The sequence below is a fragment of the Homo sapiens genome, chromosome 4 (genome assembly GCF_000001405.40).
Source record: "Homo sapiens chromosome 4, GRCh38.p14 Primary Assembly".
NCBI lineage: Eukaryota > Metazoa > Chordata > Mammalia > Primates > Hominidae > Homo > Homo sapiens.
In genome coordinates this window covers 174,306,122-174,324,775 of record NC_000004.12, presented here as the reverse complement: position 1 = coordinate 174,324,775, position 18,654 = coordinate 174,306,122, and the positions used below count along the sequence as shown (strand labels likewise).

The following is an 18,654-nucleotide window of genomic DNA, read 5'->3' as shown; positions in this document are numbered from 1 at the left end:
CATGGAACTGAAACCCTGCTACTCAGGGGTAAGTGTCTGGTCCCTCTGTTAAGGAGTGGTTGTTTGGCTAGGGTACCTTATCCATGGAAGGAGAGTGAGGAGGGGATCCTCTGGTTAGGCCATTTGAAACCTTCTCAGTTTACCAGATGTCAAGACAGTACATAACATTGAGCCTTAACTTTTGGTTTACACCACACACGTCCACTAGAAGACTGACAAAATCAAGTGTTGGTATGGATGCTGAGCAACTGAAACTCTCATACATTGCTAGTGGGAAAAGCAAATGGGCCAGCCAGTTTGGAAAAGAGTTTGGCAGTTTTTCATAAACTTAATCATAACTTTACTATTTGACCCAGCCATCCCACTCCTAGGCATTTACCCAAGAGAGGTAAAAACATGTGTCCAGAGACACATGTTCCAGTGTTCATAGCAGATTTATAAAATGGAATACCTCCAAACTGGACATATCACAATGTCCATCAACTGATGAAATTGTGGTATGTTAGCACACTGAAATATTCATTGGCCATATAAAGGAATGAACTACTACATACAACAACATGGATGAATCTCAGAAGCATTATGCTACATGGAAGAAGCCAGACACAAAAGACTAAATATGGTATGATGATATTAATATAAAACTCTAGCAACAGCAACATTAAAATGATGGAATGCAAATCAGTGGTTGCTGAAGGACAAGGTGAAACCCAGGGCTAACCTAATTAGGCCTATCAAACTTAACTTGCCTTGTTTGTAGTCGCTTGCTTCTAGTTGATTTTAAAACCTACATAGCGAAAAGTCAATGCAACTAAGCAATATGTAACTAAACTTCCACTAGTTTCCTTATAGATAACATCTCTGATGTACAGGTCACCATAGTAATTAATAGTTGCTTGTTTTTCAGGAAATTAGGATCAGCTCTTGTCCAGTTCAAGCTGACTCCACTGAGCCTCCAATGGCCTGTATGAATGCCCAATGAGTGCCCTTTTGACATCAGAAGGCCAAAAACTCCACCCTCAGATTGTGCCAACGACACCATCTTGCGAACGTGGATCCTATGAAAAGCCATGAAGCTTAACTGCACTCGCACAGATCAGCAATTACCTCACTTTTCCTTACCACCAATTAACTTTTTCCATGCATTGGACTGCCTTGCTCCTTTATCCCACAAATATCCCTAATGCCCCAACTTCAAGGAGGAGAATTTGAGGGGTGTTATCCCACCTCCTCACTTGGCTGCCTCATGAATAAAATCTTTTCTCCACTGCAAAACTCATTGTCTCAGTGATTGGCTTACTGCAGGATGGGCAGAATGTGCCTGGTTTGGTATCAGAGGAATGACTGCAAAGAGGCATGTTCTATATCTTAAATATGGTGGTGGCTATATGAATGTATGACTGAAATTGGTGAATTTTATCGTATGTAAATTATAACACAATAAACGCTGATGCAGAAACATGAGGGGGGAAAACCTCTCAAGGCCTTAGTTTCTAATATCAACAATCTCTCAGGGCAGCTGCTGCTTCAGGCAAGCATAATACTCTGAATTTCTGCTTCCTCTTCTTTTGGCCTTTAGGGATTTCTTTTAATTTCCTGTGATATCTGTGATAAATATTTATTATATTTTTTTCAAGAATGTTTGATGATTTGTTGCAGGAGTTTTTTATATTTTTTAATACCTTGTATGCCATATTGCCGCAAACAGAAATATCATTTTCTCTAAAAATTTGCTGCCTTTTAGTGCTTTAAATGAGACCTGTGTACTTTTTTGAGTAACTTTTCAAAAATATCATTAAATTTCCTCACCTTTTTATTAGGAAAATCTCACATTTAGGCTCAAAAATATCAGTGCTTAAAGTATGGAGAAACTATTTTAAAAGTTACCAACTTGGGCATTAATGCTACATACTATATTCTACATTTAAATATGTGACCAAATACAGAAATGTAGTATAACAATAAAGTTGACATTAAAATGAAATTAATTTCAGATATTGAATTTAAAAATCAGCTAACAGTTGCTTACAAAATTTGAATTCTATCATAATATGGGGGATGGGAGGACATCTTAATTGTTTGTCAAGCCACAAAATAAAATGAGAATGTCCTATGTACCAAGCATTGTGCTAAGCATGGAGAATACATCAGTAAACAAAATTCAGGATCTCTTTTCACATAACACTCATAGTTTCGCAGGGAGGACAACCTTGAGCAACAATTGCAAATAGTAGGTTTATAATGTACAAACCGAAATGAAGAAAAATTACAGGGTGCTTTTCATAGCATAAACAGGGAATCTAAACTATTCTAGGGACCTAGGGGGCATTATTTGGAGGGAGTTATGTTTAATCTGAAGCCCCTATGATGAGTAGAATTCTACCAGCCAATGTGGTGCAGAGGATAGGAAATGAAGAGTGGAGAACAAATGAACATTTTAGGTGATGGAAGAGCATTTGTAAAGTCATGGAAAGCCCAGCACATTCAGAAAGTGGAAAAGCATAGTATATAAAAAGTGAAGGTGGAAGAGAATGATGATTTTAAAAAATGGTGCGAAATTGAGAGGATAATTGGAATACTGAAATGCTTTTAAACTTTAAACATTTTTCTACTTTCTCATGGCAGTGTGAAAAAATAAATAAATTTTAAACATTTTGATGTTTGTTACTGATCTTCATTTAAAAGTCCTCAGCTGTGGTGTTGTTTTAAATGTCCTAGTGTGAATATCAACAAACAATGATCAGAATTTAAAAACAATAATCAGATTCTTACCCAGTAAATCAAAGCTTACTTAAACAGAAGATGGCAAATCTGAAGCAAGATACATATTGATTGGGTAAAGTTTAAGAACTCCTAGTGGTTTCTGTTTTCCTCTCCTCTCGCTCTCTTTGCACCTAATTCATCTATGGAAACTGCTTTCTAAATATTGTATTTTCTTAAACTTAAGATGCTTTTTTTACTCCTTCATTTACTTCATTTTACTACTCAAATGAGATTTCCTTGACAAATGATTTTCAGAAAAAGTTTGTAAGACCATATAATACTGAATTTTAAATTAAATGTGAAACATGGATCTCTAATAATTGCTTTCCATATCTTCAGAAAAGTCACCCTATGACATAATAGAGAAAAACAAATATGTATGCAGAATATTGCCTGTTGTACTTTGGGCAACATAATTAAAAGTAAAAAACTAGGAAATTTTTCAACATAAACACAGATATTTCAAAGATGGAGGCTAATGGTATGAATTGTGCATGCTTAGTAAAGAATCATTATTGATGAGGACCAAACAAGTTATTTGTACAAAGCTTACACCTAATTTTGAAGAAAGGATGTTTTAATTCCTATTTATATATTATTTGACTGAGGAAAAAAAATCATTTAACTAAATGCACTCAAAACCCTAAAACGCTAACCAAAGGTGCTAAGGAGGCCAAGATACTAAATGTGAATTGCAAGAAGCTGTATATATTTAGATAAAAGCAATTCCGGAGAATCTGAATTTGAAGGCTTAGATTCAAATGTTAGTTATGATAATAAAACAAGAAGTATGTGAATGTAAACTAATATTTCTTGAACTTAAAGTACCTACAAATGTCTTTGGGTTCTTTGTGTAATGAAGAATCTAATGTAGTAAGTAGGTCAAGAGCAGGGCTTGAGATTTTGCACTTCTAACAAGATTCCAGACGGAACCAATTAGGCAAGATAACAGATTAAACACTAGTGTAGTATCTTTTTGCTATCTCTCAGTCCAGATACTAGATTGAAGATAGTCCTTAAACTGGAAGTACTACATTTGCTCCAAATCCCATTATTTCCCTCCATCTCCACTGTCATCATAATTCAAGTCACTCTTACTATGTTTCTTCGATTACTGTAATAGTCTCCCACTGATTTCTCTGCCTCTAGTTTTGCCCCCTTACCCATTCTCCATATTAAAGCGGTAAAATAAATCCTTCAAAAACTCAGATCTGGTTATCATATTCTGCTGCTTAAATGGTTCAGTAAATAAGATACAAGCTGCCCCTTGGGCCTGTGTCAACTGACCTCTAGCCACACACACACACATACACACACACACACACACAGAGCACACTCAGTATGCTAGCCCTAGTGAATTTCTTTCAAATGCTCTTCCTTTCAAGCCTTTGTTTATGCTAGTCCTTTTGCGTAAACCATCTTCCCTGGCTATATTCTGTTCACTCTTTAGGACTTAAGATAAACATCACTTCCTTCCACGCTGATCAGTTTGATGCCTTCAGTTTCAAAGAAAGGAGACAAACCTGGGGACTGTTAAAAAGTAAAAATCAAAGTTACAATGTTATTTGAGCTCAAAAAGTGTTGTAGTTTATAAAATTGAGAAGGTTATATTAATTTTTATGCTTCCTGAAGAGTGTATCAATTATATAAAGTTATGAGTAATGAATGGCATGAAACAAAGTCCCAACGTTTTCAAGTTTTATTTTTAAAATATATTACAACATCACATTAAAAACAGTAGAGGAAAACAAGCAAACATGATAGAATTACTTTTTTCCAACTCAATAGTACTTAGCTTTACCTAGAATTTTCATACAGTTGATGCTAACTTCTTCTGAACCCTTTCTGACTAGTATTTTACCTTATGTATTCTTTATAGTATTTCCATATAATCTTTACCGAGACCTATTCAGAGCATAACATAGACAGGGCAGCACAAGCAACTGACACCTTTGTTGGTAGTACAGTGTTTTTTCAACCAGTTTATGAGAGAATGAAAAGAATGAAAGTGAAAATTTTACTTAACTTAGGGTTATGTAGCTCTAGGTAATCTCTTCAGAACTCCCCTGCTTCACCTTCTCAAGTTAATCAACAGTGGCTAGTTTATAACTAGAAACCACTTACCAAATTGCCTAAACAAGAAAACTTTTTAAAATAACAATTTGCTGATCTGTCCAATAACTCCAATAAAGTTGAATTTGCTTTATTTTTCCAAAAATTATGTTGTCTAGATAAAGACTCTTTGTAAGTGTAAATGTATGATATATTGAGTTGATTTTTAGTCCCTATTAGAGAGTTGTTAGACAAGTTATTAAAGTTTAAGAAAATTTGGATTCTAAATTTCCACCTGATAACATATATGAAATATTTTATATTTTCAATATATACTTACTTATATTTTGCACACTGTATATAAACTAGGAGATTAGAAATGTTTTAAGTCCCTTCTCTGTGTGTATATCTGCACTATATAAAGAAAAAAAGAAAGGGTAGAAAGAGACTTAACTTTTTTTCTATCTTCCATAAGAAAACTTCAAAAATGTTTCTTTTTAAAATTGAATTTTTCAAAAGGGAAAAAATATTATCCTGTTTGATGGGAAATCACTTGTTTTAACAAAAGGTAAAATACTGGCATGTTAACCACAAGGTGGTGCTATAATTCCATGCTGGTACTGATATTTTAGGAGTTAATCGATACAGAAGTTTTTTCCCTTATAACTATAACCTCTTAACCTCTTAATTTTTATAAATGTACTTCTCTCACAATTGAAAAAATTAAAGCTAACATGCTTCATTAATTCTGGAAATATTTACTGAAACTCTGTTAAATTCAAAATTGTATGTTTCTGTAGGCTACCATTTTAAAGTTCTGATGACCAACTGTTTATTAGAATACTAAAAATGTGGCCAAGCATGGTGACTCACCCATGGAATCTAGCACTTTGGGACATCCAGGTGGGCGAGTAGCTTTAGCTCACGAGTTTGAGAACAGACTGGGCAACATGGTGAAACCCTGTCTCTACAAAAATACAAAAATTAGCCAGGCATGACGGTACAGGCCTATAGTCCCAGCTACTCAGGAGGCTGAAGCACAAGAATCGCTTGAACTCGGTAGGCAGAAGGTGCAGTGAGCCGAGATCACGCCAGTGCACTCCAGCCTGGGCAATAGAGTGAGACCCTGTTTCAAAAAGAAAAAAAAAAAAAACAAAGGAATTCTAAAAATGTTTTCTTAAAAGTGATTTCTTACACTGTTTCAAATTCACAAACACAAAAAAAATTTAAGTGATTTCTACTCATATAACAATATTTTATATTTGACAGTGTAATATAGAATTATACATACATACCATAAATAGATGAATAAATAAAATATAATCAGATGGTCCATATAATATTAAAAAAAATACTAATTTTCCTTCCAAATAATGAAGTCAATTTTCTTGAGGATTTTCTGATTACTGGAACACTTTTATCTACAAGTTTAAAAAAAGATAATTCATATAGTAGTAATATTAAAAATAAATTTCATTTTTCCATTGATTTACCTTCAGCTAAGACTTTTCTCTCCAAAAAATGTGTAACTTTTCATCATTAAAAAAACAAAACACAACACCTCACTGTGTATCTTTTAACGGTGGCTAGAATGGCTACATTCTCTTTCTGTTACACTGGTCTTAAAAAGTGTTACGCCGGAGGCCAAGACAGGCAGATCACCTGAGGTCAGGAGTTTGAGACCAGCCTGACCAACACGGAGAAACCCTGTCTCTAATAAAAATACAAAATTAGCTGGGCATGGTGGTGCATGCCTATAATCCCAGCTACTCAGGAGGCTGAGGCACAAGAATCACTTGAACCCGGTAGGCAGAGGTTGCGGTGAGCCAAGATCGTGCTATTGCACTCCAGCCTGGGCAACAACAGCGAAACTCCATCCCCCCCTCCAAAAAAATTATACAATAGAGCATACTAAAATGTTCAACACATTTCTCATGGTGAACCTTGAGACCATAGTCCTCTTGGTCTAAACTTGAGGACCATAGTCCTCCAGCCTGTTTCCCAGTACAAAAGGAGAATCTTAACCTTAATTTCTCAGTGTTAATTGGAAAGGTATTGATGTTTTTGACCAAGCATGAAATAACTGCCTTTTTGTTTTATTTAATTTTCAATGAGCATTTTTAACTGTTCATTATAACTTATTCATCAGTACAGATGCCAAGATGGTATATATGAGAGCCTCCTGGGTATAATACACAAGTCCCATTTGGAATGTTTCCAACAGGATGTAAACCATAGTCCTCAAGCCTGTGCTTTAAAAAACATTACTTAGCACACTGCCAACAAATGTCAACACAGAAATACAGTGCTGTAATGACTTCACTCTGTAAGAGAAATATACTGGAACATGAGTTTTTCCTAAAAAAAAAAAAAGTGACACAAGGTAAAGCAGTATAATCATTGCTCAAAAATATTAAAAGAGTTATTCAATAATGAATGCAAAAATTCATATACCAAATGGAATCCAAATTGTCAAAAACTGCAGTATTGCAGTATATTAAAATTGTATAAAGAATTCTTAAAATATACAATATGTATAGTAACCAAAGTCCTAGAAAAAAGTTCATGTAGAAAATCCTACAAGTAGTGATTTGGACATTTCAGTAACTCTGCAGTTTCTTCAAACCTGAAATATAATAAATAATATATTAAGTAAATCAATAATTCATAATAAAGCATAGCATTTTAGTTGTTGAAATTATGCTTTTTAGCCTAAAATAAATTTGAATATTTTTCTTATCTATAAGTACAGTTACTATGAATAAACTTAAGTATGACCAGAGGGAAGACAAAGAGGAGTCGATTATGAGTCATATTCTTGAAGTGTAAGTTAAGTACTTTTTGCATTTCTAAATAATATTATAATTTTCTATAGTAGTAGGCTGCATAATCATCTTATATGCAATTTCATTTCATATTTCCTTTGAACTGCTCTTTAGAAAAATCACACCATTTGTACTAGACAAAAACATCATTTTTAGTATCTCATCAATAACTTGCCGAAAAACACCAGTGATATTTTCACAACACTGAAAATGTCTCCAAACCATCCATCTATATATATTATTTAATATTTTGATAAATCAGTTATCAAAAATAGATAATACTCTTGATTAGTTACCAACCAAAAATATCTTTGTATTCTCTCTGCAGTTAATTCCATTAACAATTCCAACAAGTTTTAAATCGCTTGTTGGAAACTAAAACAGTGACTCATCTCACAAACACATAACTGTAGGTGGATTTATTATCCAGTGGAGTCCTGAAGGAAATTCCACACCTGATTGAGAGACCTTTAAGGTTTGAAACACACATGCACATTCTATATATACTGTAATCCAATACAATTCCCTATAGAGAAATGAATTTCTGTTGCCCCTTTCTGTTACTTACATTTTTTTCATCCTTTCCATTTTCTGGATTGTTGTTTCCTTTAATTTAAAAAGCAACAAATTTAGATGATTTCTCAAAGTAAACCATCATCAAAGATGGACCGAGAATGTACAAAACACAGTTTGAAACATTGCATTAAGTACTGTTTACTTATGAAAGAATTTTGAGAGACTAAGATTCGCGTTTGCTATTTTTCTTGCTAGCAATATTTACAACAAAAGCTAATGCTTGCTTGTTTTCCTCATTTAGAAAGGAAATAATCTAAGCATTTTCTTACCTCTGAAATCTCATTCAAACCACAGTAATTAACAGTAGAGGCTCTGGGAGTTGAATCTGATGATGCTGTACTATAGCCAGAGGACAGAGGAATACTTGCTGGCCTCTCTACTTCGCTTTTTCTGTCTGTGAAGAAATTAAGTTTTAGATTACCTTTTCCTTTCACAGAAGAGTCAAATATCTAAAAATATTATTTACAGATGGAAGAAAAACATACTATTTTAATTAAAAATGGCTATCCGCATAGATCAAAGAGTTTTTAGTACTCTTAAGGTAACAGCTTTCATATGGAGATCTAGATGTTAAAAATTGCCCAATAAAAATTACAAAAGGCAGTATTATTATCATGATAGCAATCAGTTTGAATAAACAGGTAAGTTAATAATTTATTTTAAAATATAACCTATTGAATCAATCATGTATATTCTTTTCTTTTTTTTTTTTTTTTTTTGAGACGGAGTCTCGCTCTGTCGCCCAGGCAGGAGTGCAGTGGCGCGATCTCGGCTCACTGCAAGCTCCGCCTCCCGGGTTCACGCCATTCTCCTGCCTCAGCCTCCCGAGTAGCTGGGACTACAGGCGCCAGCTACCACGCCCGGCTAATTTTTTGTATTTTTAGTAGAGACAGGGTTTCACCGTATTCTTTTCTTAAAATGGTGATATTTACATTAAATAATTAGTATCCATGAATTTGTCATGATGCTTTTATTCAGCAACATTTAAGCATTTCACAAATTTTTTTACTACTGTTCTGTGGCAAGTGACAACTATTACTATAACTGACCATATATATCTTTTAAAAATCAAGAAACATTCTAACTTGATTTGACATATATGAAAATAAGTAATGCAAAAATTTAAGATCCACAGATTTCTTTTTCTAAAAAACGGAAAAACCTAACATTTCAAATATCCTGATAATATTAATTTGACAAAATGATGGCATCTCCCCTACAAAAATATCAATTAGAGAAGATTACGGATAATGTAATAAATCCTACAAACCCTGTGTTTCAGTCAGAATACATTTGGCTGCAAAAGCAATGCAAAAAAAAAAAAAAATTAGACACCCATTTAAATTGGTTCACATAAAGAGAGCTTTATTGTAAGCCTACACAGACAACCTTAATTGGGGAACAAACTATTACCACTGAGAACTGAAACAACTAGAAGACTAATTTTTATCTCTCATAGAGCCACAGTCTCTTTTGCCTACTTCTGCCATTTGCTCCATCCCTCAGCTCTTCTCTGTAGAATGGCTTTCTCTGCTGACTCATCAGCGTAAACTTCCACCACATGGCCAGCCCGGCCCAGGCTCAATATCATTTGACTAACTAACTCGTGGTGTCCTAATTCCAAATGCTAAGAGAGAGAATGTAATTTGACTCATCACACTTTGAACTGGAATTCTCTGGGTCAGGTGTCTACTCTTAATCCAATTAGCTAAGCCTGGAGGTCAAGATTACAGGGTGTAATTCTGAAGACTACCTAAACCCAGATCTTTTAGTAGGAGCTATGGACAAGAGGTTATTTTAAGAAATAATTTGAAATTAGGCAGGAACTATATCTACTATGCACTAAATCTTGGATTTTTTTCTGTGGGTACAGATAGTTGTCCTGAACATTTCGGACATCTTTCCAAAAAGAGGAGGGGGCCCTAGGAAAAGGAAACAGGTCCGGGAAGACAGATAAAGGGTGAAGGAATGGCTCTCTTTGTCTTCCATTTTGGGGTCCAGACTTTGCGGTGTCTAACCTTATTCAAGAGTGTGCCTCATGGTGGGAGAAAGCTGGTATTTGGCAGGCTGGCAGGCTATTCATAGTTATTCCTACAGAGGATTCCAGAGGCTACAGAGTGGACCATTACAGAACACCAGCTATATTTAATAGCCAGATCAGTTAACTGCACATTAATTTCTATATTTTTTCTTATTGCTATCCTGAACCTTTAGTAAAGCCTTACTTGTTTAAACATTAATAGTTTCTTAGCTGTGCTATAGGGGATTGAGAAAAGAATTGGTAACTGAGTTCAGGTTGGAAAGGAAAGGGGAAAGGCAATGGCCACTGACACAAGGACCCTGACACCAGTTGTTATGTACTTCAGTAGTGACTGCTAAGAAGTCTCTGTAAAGAAAGGGACTCTTCTACTTCTAAGATTATGGGGGTATGGGACATGAAATCTTCTACCCAACTCTTACCACGTAACAACTAATCTTTCACTGCCATCTTTGGAGGCTTATCACCTTATTCCACGAAGGGAATCAGTAGGGTCCTTTACCATTTAATAATTTGTAAGCCAATACTTCTAAATCAAGGACCAATGTATGTATCCAACTGATTTCTAGATATTCTGTCTTAAGGATTTCATATATAATTTATTATATTCAAAAGTGAACTCATTATTTCTCCCAAACCTTCTCCTCTTCCTGAATTTTTTATTTTATTAAAGAGTAACAATCACCTACCCAATCACATGAGCCAAACACAAGTAGTCAGTGTTACCTTCCTTACTCTCCTTCACCCTTTTTGTATCTATCAGGATCAAGGCATATCAATTTTAACATCTAAATTTCTCCCAAATAAATCACCTGCTCTTTATCCTCACTATCATTGCCTTAGTAGAGACCCTCATTATTATTCTGAAATAATGACTACTAAAATTCTCTTCAAATTATCCTTGCCTATCTTACTTTCCTAACAAATCACTATTCTGCTTTGATGATAACCTTTGTGAAACACAAACCTAAGAATATTAGCCTTGCTGAAAATCTTCCTACGACTCTGGGATAAACTCCATGACTTGATCTTTCTACTCTTCTGCTACAGCTTCCTTCAGGTGCTCACATGTACCCTTCCTGCTAGTCACACAGGAACAAACCACACTCTTCTGTGGTAGCACACCTTTTTTTTTTTTTTCCTCTGAGGGAAAAAAGGCACAAAACAAAGCGAAACAAACAAGCAAATAAAAAAGGAGCACTAACAGTTGGTGCCCTGTCTGGCAATTAACACCTAAACTACTGTACCCTCTAATGAATATAAATAATTTCATGAAAAAGAACATCACATGAGGTCACTTCATTAGCATAATGAAACAACACACCCAAAACCACCATTCATGTCCGAACATAGACAAAACAAGGGCACCATGTAACCACATAAATGAGCAGATATAGCCCCCCTTGCCTAACATGAGTACTTATTTTATGCTAAAAATTTCATTCTTACCATCAATCATCAAATTGCTCCTGCTCCCTGACAGCACCCGTAGCCCTTGCTTCCTCAAACCCTCTCCAAAATTATCCAACACAAGTCCAATCCCTAAAAGCCTCTGCTAATTCACTCTTACCAAGACATTAAGGTGCCTTACAATTCCCCATGGAACACTGTATTCCTGATAAAGGCAAAACAAATCTGGAACCTCACAAAAACTATTCCTGATTTAATATGATCCTAAACCCAGAGTAGTAAATTATTGCTCTCTGCATTCAAATGAAATCAAACCCTATTTCCAAGTAGCATGTATAAGGTATAATGTGTAAGTCTTTATAAACTTGAGTCTTTTAATTAATCTAGATCAGATCATAAACTCTATGAGACCAGGTATTCAACCTAATCATAATCTGTAATCCATTTCAGATAGAGGCCTGTTAATTACTTTCAGTCCTGGCACAGTTGTTGAAATTTAGCTATGTGAACCCGGACATGTTAACTCACACCTGTAATCCCAGTACTTTGAGAAGCAGAGATGGGAGGATTGCTTGAGCCCAGGAGTTCAAGACCAGCCTGAGCAACATAGCAAGACCTTGTTTTACTAAAAACAGTATGTAAATAAATAAAAAATTATCCAGGTGTGGTGGCACGTACCTGTAGTCCCAGCTACTCAGGAGGCTGAGAAAGGAGGATCACTTTAAGCCAAGGAGTTAACATCTAGGAGACTGCAGTGAGCTATGATTGCACCACTGCACTCCAGCCTGAGCAGCAGAGTAAGACCACACTTATCTCAAAAAAATTAAAAAATTAAAAAAAAAAAACTTAGCCATGTGTTTTCTAAATAGGTTAAAGGTATATTCTATAATCATGTCATTAAAAAAAAATAAGCCTGAGCATGCAAAATCAAACTTGAAAAAGGCAATGTTTTGCAAATCACAAGCATTCAATATTCTTTCAGTGAATAAATATTTAAACTCTACTATATGCAAATACTGGTGATAAAAGCACCGACATACTTTCTGTGTGCTAGACAGGCAGACCATAAGATAAAGTTTTTGCTCTCAAGGATCTTATACTCAAGCATTAACATTTGTTGAATAGATATATGAATGGATAAATAAAACAGGCAACATTTTACCAAATCTGAAATCTGCAGCCTATAATAAATTTAGTTGCCTTAAATAGCATCTCAAATAATTATACTTAACAAGCTAATCACTGAAATTGTTCTTTGTGCAATGATATTGATATGTGCTCCAAATATGCAGCAGTCAAGAAAAAACTTCAGATCAGTTGCCTGGATTCAAATTTGATCTACAATTCAATAACTGTGTGACCTTTGCTGTAGTTACTTAATTTTGCTGTACTTCAGTTTCCTCAACTGTAAAATATAAAAATAGTACTTATCTTGCAATGGTTACTTCAAGAATTAAATGAGTTAATATAGTAGTTAGAATCGTGCCAGGCACACTGTTAGTGCTAGAATATATATTATTTTATTGTTACACATATAGTAGAGCTGAAAGATTTTATAACGTTAACAATCCACAGATATTAAAAATTTAACTTAACGATGAATTCTCAATTGGACAAAACATCTCTTCTATAGCTATGATTTAATCATAGATATGGCACAAAATTTAGATCTTTTAAAAATACATAACAATCAAAACAAAGCTGTCACTGAAAAACAGAAATCTTACCCTTGCTGCTCAGTCACACTAAGCAAAATATCAGTAGCCTAGTAAAGTGACCAGGAAAAGACCTATCCTAATATCAGATCTTTCCCATTTTATCATTATCAGTGAACTATTCACATGGAAGAAGTTTGCAATACTTTATAGATACTGACAAATGTGTTTTCTTCTCTTACATATTATTATTTACATATGAGAAAGCTACTACCTACCTAAGCTTAAATTTAAAAACTTGGAGGCCAACATTAATATCCTAGAGCACTTGATTATTCTCGAATGATTAAAACAGTAAAATATCTCTAAAAATTTTCAATTTTGTACACTGAAATTTATTCACCCACTATGTTATGTGAAATAAGTAGGCTGGTTAGTTAAGCAATTCTTGGCTTTAGTAGTCTGTAGGTTCATTATGTTCTTTGTTCTAGGAGCTTTGCAATTTCTAAACAATAAAGCTTAAGAATATTAAAATTACTATAACAATCATTTTTCTGAAAACTCATCATACCAATTCTCATAGTATTTACAAACTTACGAGGATTCAGAAGGTCCATGTCACTACAAGAAGCGTAGTCTTCACTAACTTCATTAAACTCTATAAATTCATCATTCTGGAATAACACAGTTAAATATTTAGAATGAAATAAAAAGAAAAACCCTCTCATTTTATATTCTTAATGCTGAGCATAAAATATAAAGGTAGCATGATAAATGTTTAAATATTTTTAATTTTTTATTAAAGCAATACATATACTGCATATTCCTACATATAAGAAATGTTTTAAATATGGAAGCAGATAGCAAGCTACTTGACTTCACCTTCTAGGAAGGAAAGACAGACCAGAAATTGAAATCCTGAGTAAAAAAAAACAAATTTCTCAGATTTGATAAGGCAATGGTAAATCTGGTAACTATTCTATGAAATTCACAATATGATTGAAGTAAATGAGTGAAAAAAAGATGGGAAGAGTTACCTATATCTTCTGTATCTTTTCTACCCTATGAAAATAGGTTATTTGTACTATTAAAAGATATAAAATAATTTTAAGCTTTTCATATCTATCATATTCTTACCTCATTTTAAATTCTTCAAGCATTATTAACATCTGTAAAAGCTCAACTGACAAGTTTTTCAGATTATCTTATTCAATGAAGAGAGAAACAACAGCCACAACAACATACAGGCTATATTTAAACAGGACTTCATTCTAACTAGACATTTTCTCATTATTCAAATATTCTCATATTTAGCATTTCCAAAAAAATACACATATAACAATCAAAAAAAAACTTTGTTATATCTGAGATATTTTATAAATGTTAAAGGAGGAAAATACCTTTTTAGACAAAAGCATTTCTGTTTCAAGAAGAGTGACACGACTAAGAAGATTAGTCCAGGTGTTTTCATCTACCATCACTTTTCCTTTCATTTTTTGTTCCAAACAGTCTAACCTTTTCTCTATCGAAGTCAGTTTCTTAAGATTTTCTTGGCATTCAGCAAGCATAGTTTGTAGTGCAGTAATCTCAGGATTAACATTTACATCCTAAAAAGGTTAGAGAGATTAAAAATAAAATTAAACAAACTGAAATTTCTTTAAAATTAATGTATTCTCACTTCCACAGCGTTATCTCAACAGTTAGGAGAGACCGTCCTGCTTGAGAGTTAAGAGAGCTATCTCTGGATGGAGACTACTTGGCCACTTAAACCAGTTCTGAGATTTATGATCTTGATGCCTCCATTTCCTCATTAAAAAAAAAGAGATAAGAGCAGTATCTATTTCATATGATTCTTCTGATAATGAGTTAATTTGCATGATTCTCTTAATACCAGCTAGTAAAATAAAACTATTATTAACTAGCTTCTTGAAACAACGCTTAGCACAAAGCTAAGAGGAAATGACCAAAAACAACACTTAGTGCATTGAGATTGTTCGGTTTGCCATATAACAGGAAGTAGGTCCAATGGCCATCTGGTAGTTTTTGTAAGTGCCAACTGTATATTGATATACTGAGATATATAGAAATCACAAGACATAGAAACACAGAAAAAGAAGTCTTAGCAGAAACAGTAGAGATCAGACATATTGGGGTCTGTGGCAATTAAGAGTAATAGAAATGGTTTTTTAAGAGAGACAGAAAATAACAGCAGGGACCCAGAAAGGAAAATGAATAGGCAATAAAGTGCCAATCTTTTCCATTCACCAATAAAGAAAATAGGTGGTAGAGAACCTCCACTATGCAAAGTAGCATATCGCTATGTCTCACTAAATTGTAGATTCCTTAAAGCCAAGTACCATATCTTATTCTACTTTGCATCACCCCAACACTTAGCCCAGCACCCTACACATATGCAGCAAATATTTGTTGAATTATTTTAGTAAGACTTATTGACACTTCAGTAATTGTAACATAGATAAAATGTCATGATTAATAATTCAAAAGGCTAGAAATATTCCAAAGTTTAGAGGCTGAAATAATTACACATATTTAAGTAAAAAATACTGGCATCTATTTAAAAAGTCCAAAGTTGTTACCTGTTGCTCAGCCTTGATTTCAGGAACCTTTACTTCAGGCATCTTTATTTCAGTAGCATTTAAGTCAGACACATCAACTGCTTCATTAACATCTGTTATTGGACTTAATGTATCCTCAGAAATGTCAACATTATCTTCATTATACAAGTGACGAATCACCACAGCTTTCTTCTGCATAGAGAAAAATATGTAAGAAACACTTCAATGTTTTCCTCCCACAATTATTTATTTTTTAACTTTTAAGTTCAGGGGTCCATGTGCAGGTTTGTTACACAAGTAAATGTGTGCCATGGGGGTTTGTTGTGCAGATTATTTCATCACCCAGGTATTAAGCCTAGTACCCATTGGTTATTTTTCCTGAACCTCCTCCTACCCTCCACCCTCTGAAAGGCTCCAATGTGTTTTGTTTCCCTCTATGTGTCCATGTGATCTCATCATTTAGCTCCCACTTACAAGTGAGAACAAGTGGTATTTGGTTTTCTGTTTCTGCATTAATATGCTAAGGATAAGGGCCTCCAGCTCCATCCATGTCTCTGCAAAGGACATGATCCCATTATTTTTTACGGCTACAGAGTATTCCATAGTGTGTATGTACCACATCTTCTTTATCTGCTCTATCATTGATGGGCATTTAGGTTGATTCCATGTCTTTGCTATTGTATTTAGCTTGATTCCATGTCTTTGCTATTGTGAATAGTGCTGCAATGAACATATGCATGCATCTTTACAACAGAACAATTTATATTCCCTTAAGTATATACCAAGTAACGGGACTGCTGGGTCAAATGGTCTTTAGGTCTTTGAGGAATTGCCACACTGTCTTCCACGGTGGTTGAACTAACTTACACTCCCACCAACAGTGTATAAATGTTCCTTTTCTTCCACAAACTCACGAGCATCTGTTATTTTTAGACTTTTTAATAATAGTCATTCTGAGAAGCGTGACATGGTATCTCATTGTGGTTATGATTTGCATTTTTCTAATGATCAGTGATGTTGAGTTTTTTTCATGTGATTATTGGCTGCATGTATACCTTCTCTTCAGAAGTAGATGTTCATATCCTTTGTCCACTTTTTAATTAGGTTGTTTTTTTCTTGTAAATTTGTTTAAGTTCTTTATGGATGCTAGATATTAGGCCTTTGTCAGATACAAGTTTGCAAAAATTTTCTCCCACTCCGGAGGGTGTCTGTTTACTTTGCTGATAGTTTCTTTTGCTGTGTAGAAGCTCTTTAGTTCAATTAGATCCCATTTATCAACTTTTGCTTTTGTTGGAATTGCCTTTGGCGTCTTCGTCATGAAATCATTGCCGACACCTATGTCCTGAATGGTACTGCCTAGGTTGTCTTCCAGGGTTTTTATAGTTTTGGGTTTTACATTTAAGTCTCTAATCCATCTTGAGTTGATTTTTGTGTATGGTGTAAGGAAAGGGTCTAGTTTCAATCTTCTGCATATGGCTACCCAGTTATCAAAGCACCATTTACTGACTAGGGAATCCTTTCCCCATTGCTTGTTTTCATCAGGTTTGTTGAAGATCTGATAGTTGCAGGTGTGTGGTCTTATTTCTGGGTTCTCTATTCTCTTCCATTGGTCTATGTGTCTGTTCTGGTACTAGTACCATGATGTTTTGGTTACTGTAGCCCTGTAGTATAGTTTGAAGTTGGGTAGCATGATCCCTCCAGCTTTGTTCTTTCTCCTTAGGATTGCCTTGGCTATTTGGGTCTTTTTTGGTTTCATATAAATTTTAAAGTAGTTTTCTTTAGTTCTCTGAAGACTGTCAATGGTAGTTTAATGGGAGTAGCATTGAATCTATAAATTGCTTTGGGCAGTACAGTCATTTTAACAATATTGATTCTTCCTATCCATGAGCATGGAATGTTTTTCCATTTGTTTGTGTCATCTCTGATTTCTTTGAGCAATGGTTTATAGTTTTGCTTGTAGAGATCTTTTGCCTCCCTTGTTAGCTAGATTCCTAGGTATTTTATTCTTTTTGTGGCAATTTTGAATGGGAGTTTGTTTGTGATTTGGTTCTCAGCTTGACTGTTGTTGGTAGATAAGATTGCTAGCAATTTTTGCACATTGATTTTGTATCTCAAGACTTTGCTGAAGTTGCTTATCAGCTTAAGAAGCTTTTGGGCTGAGAAGATCCTCCTACAATTATTTTAAACATACAGCAATTTTGCAAAAGGAACACCAATCTTTAAAAATTAAAAAAAGTTTAAATTATCACATATAATATATATATCAAAATATTACCATTACTAACATTACCAATAATTTATGTGTGATGATAAAATTGGGGTTATGACTTTTAAAACAATTCTTACATTTTAGGACAAGCGCTGAAATATTTATTAAATTATGTCTGAGATTTGATTTAAAATAAAGACAAAACAAGATTAGCAAAGAGTTGATAAATTGCTGAAACTGGATGATGGGTATGTTTGTAAATGTTTGAAATGTTCCATAATAAAAAGTTATTTTTAAAAAAGATTGCCAAATAATTCACTTATAAATAATCAAAAACTGGCTCTATGAGTAGGGCTCATTACAATTTTTCTGTTAAACAAACTGCAATTTATTAGACCTTCAGCTAACAATTCAAACCTAATAATGACAACGAAGAAGTCCTGACAAAAAAAGCATTAGGTCACGGTATGCATTTACCTAGAAATCCTCTACCTGCTTCCTATTCTACAGTTTGCATACACACTATAAAAACATATGTGACTCAGAAGCG

General features: G+C 34.3%; 1 protein-coding gene across 21 annotated transcripts in view; it reads right to left on the bottom strand.

Moving 5' to 3' along the window:
* The window catches only part of CEP44 (centrosomal protein 44), a 49,676-nt gene that overhangs the window by 8,606 nt on the left and 22,416 nt on the right, over positions 1-18,654 (bottom strand). For 7 of the 21 annotated variants that reach the window (XM_047416201.1, XM_017008654.2, XM_024454232.2 and 4 more), the window contains 6 exons: positions 15,917-16,087; positions 14,720-14,926; positions 13,918-13,993; positions 8,486-8,610; positions 8,209-8,246; positions 4,448-7,441 (listed from right to left, as the gene is read on the bottom strand). In XM_047416201.1, coding sequence (XP_047272157.1) covers positions 7,393-7,441; positions 8,209-8,246; positions 8,486-8,610; positions 13,918-13,993; positions 14,720-14,926; positions 15,917-16,087 — 666 coding nt within the window. In that variant the 3' untranslated portion in view covers positions 4,448-7,392. Of the gene's footprint in view, positions 1-4,447; positions 7,442-8,208; positions 8,247-8,485; positions 8,611-13,917; positions 13,994-14,719; positions 14,927-15,916; positions 16,088-18,654 lie in introns of those variants that run through there. The other 14 variants (XM_047416204.1, XM_017008657.2, XM_024454234.2 and 11 more) reach the window with 2 other exon arrangements.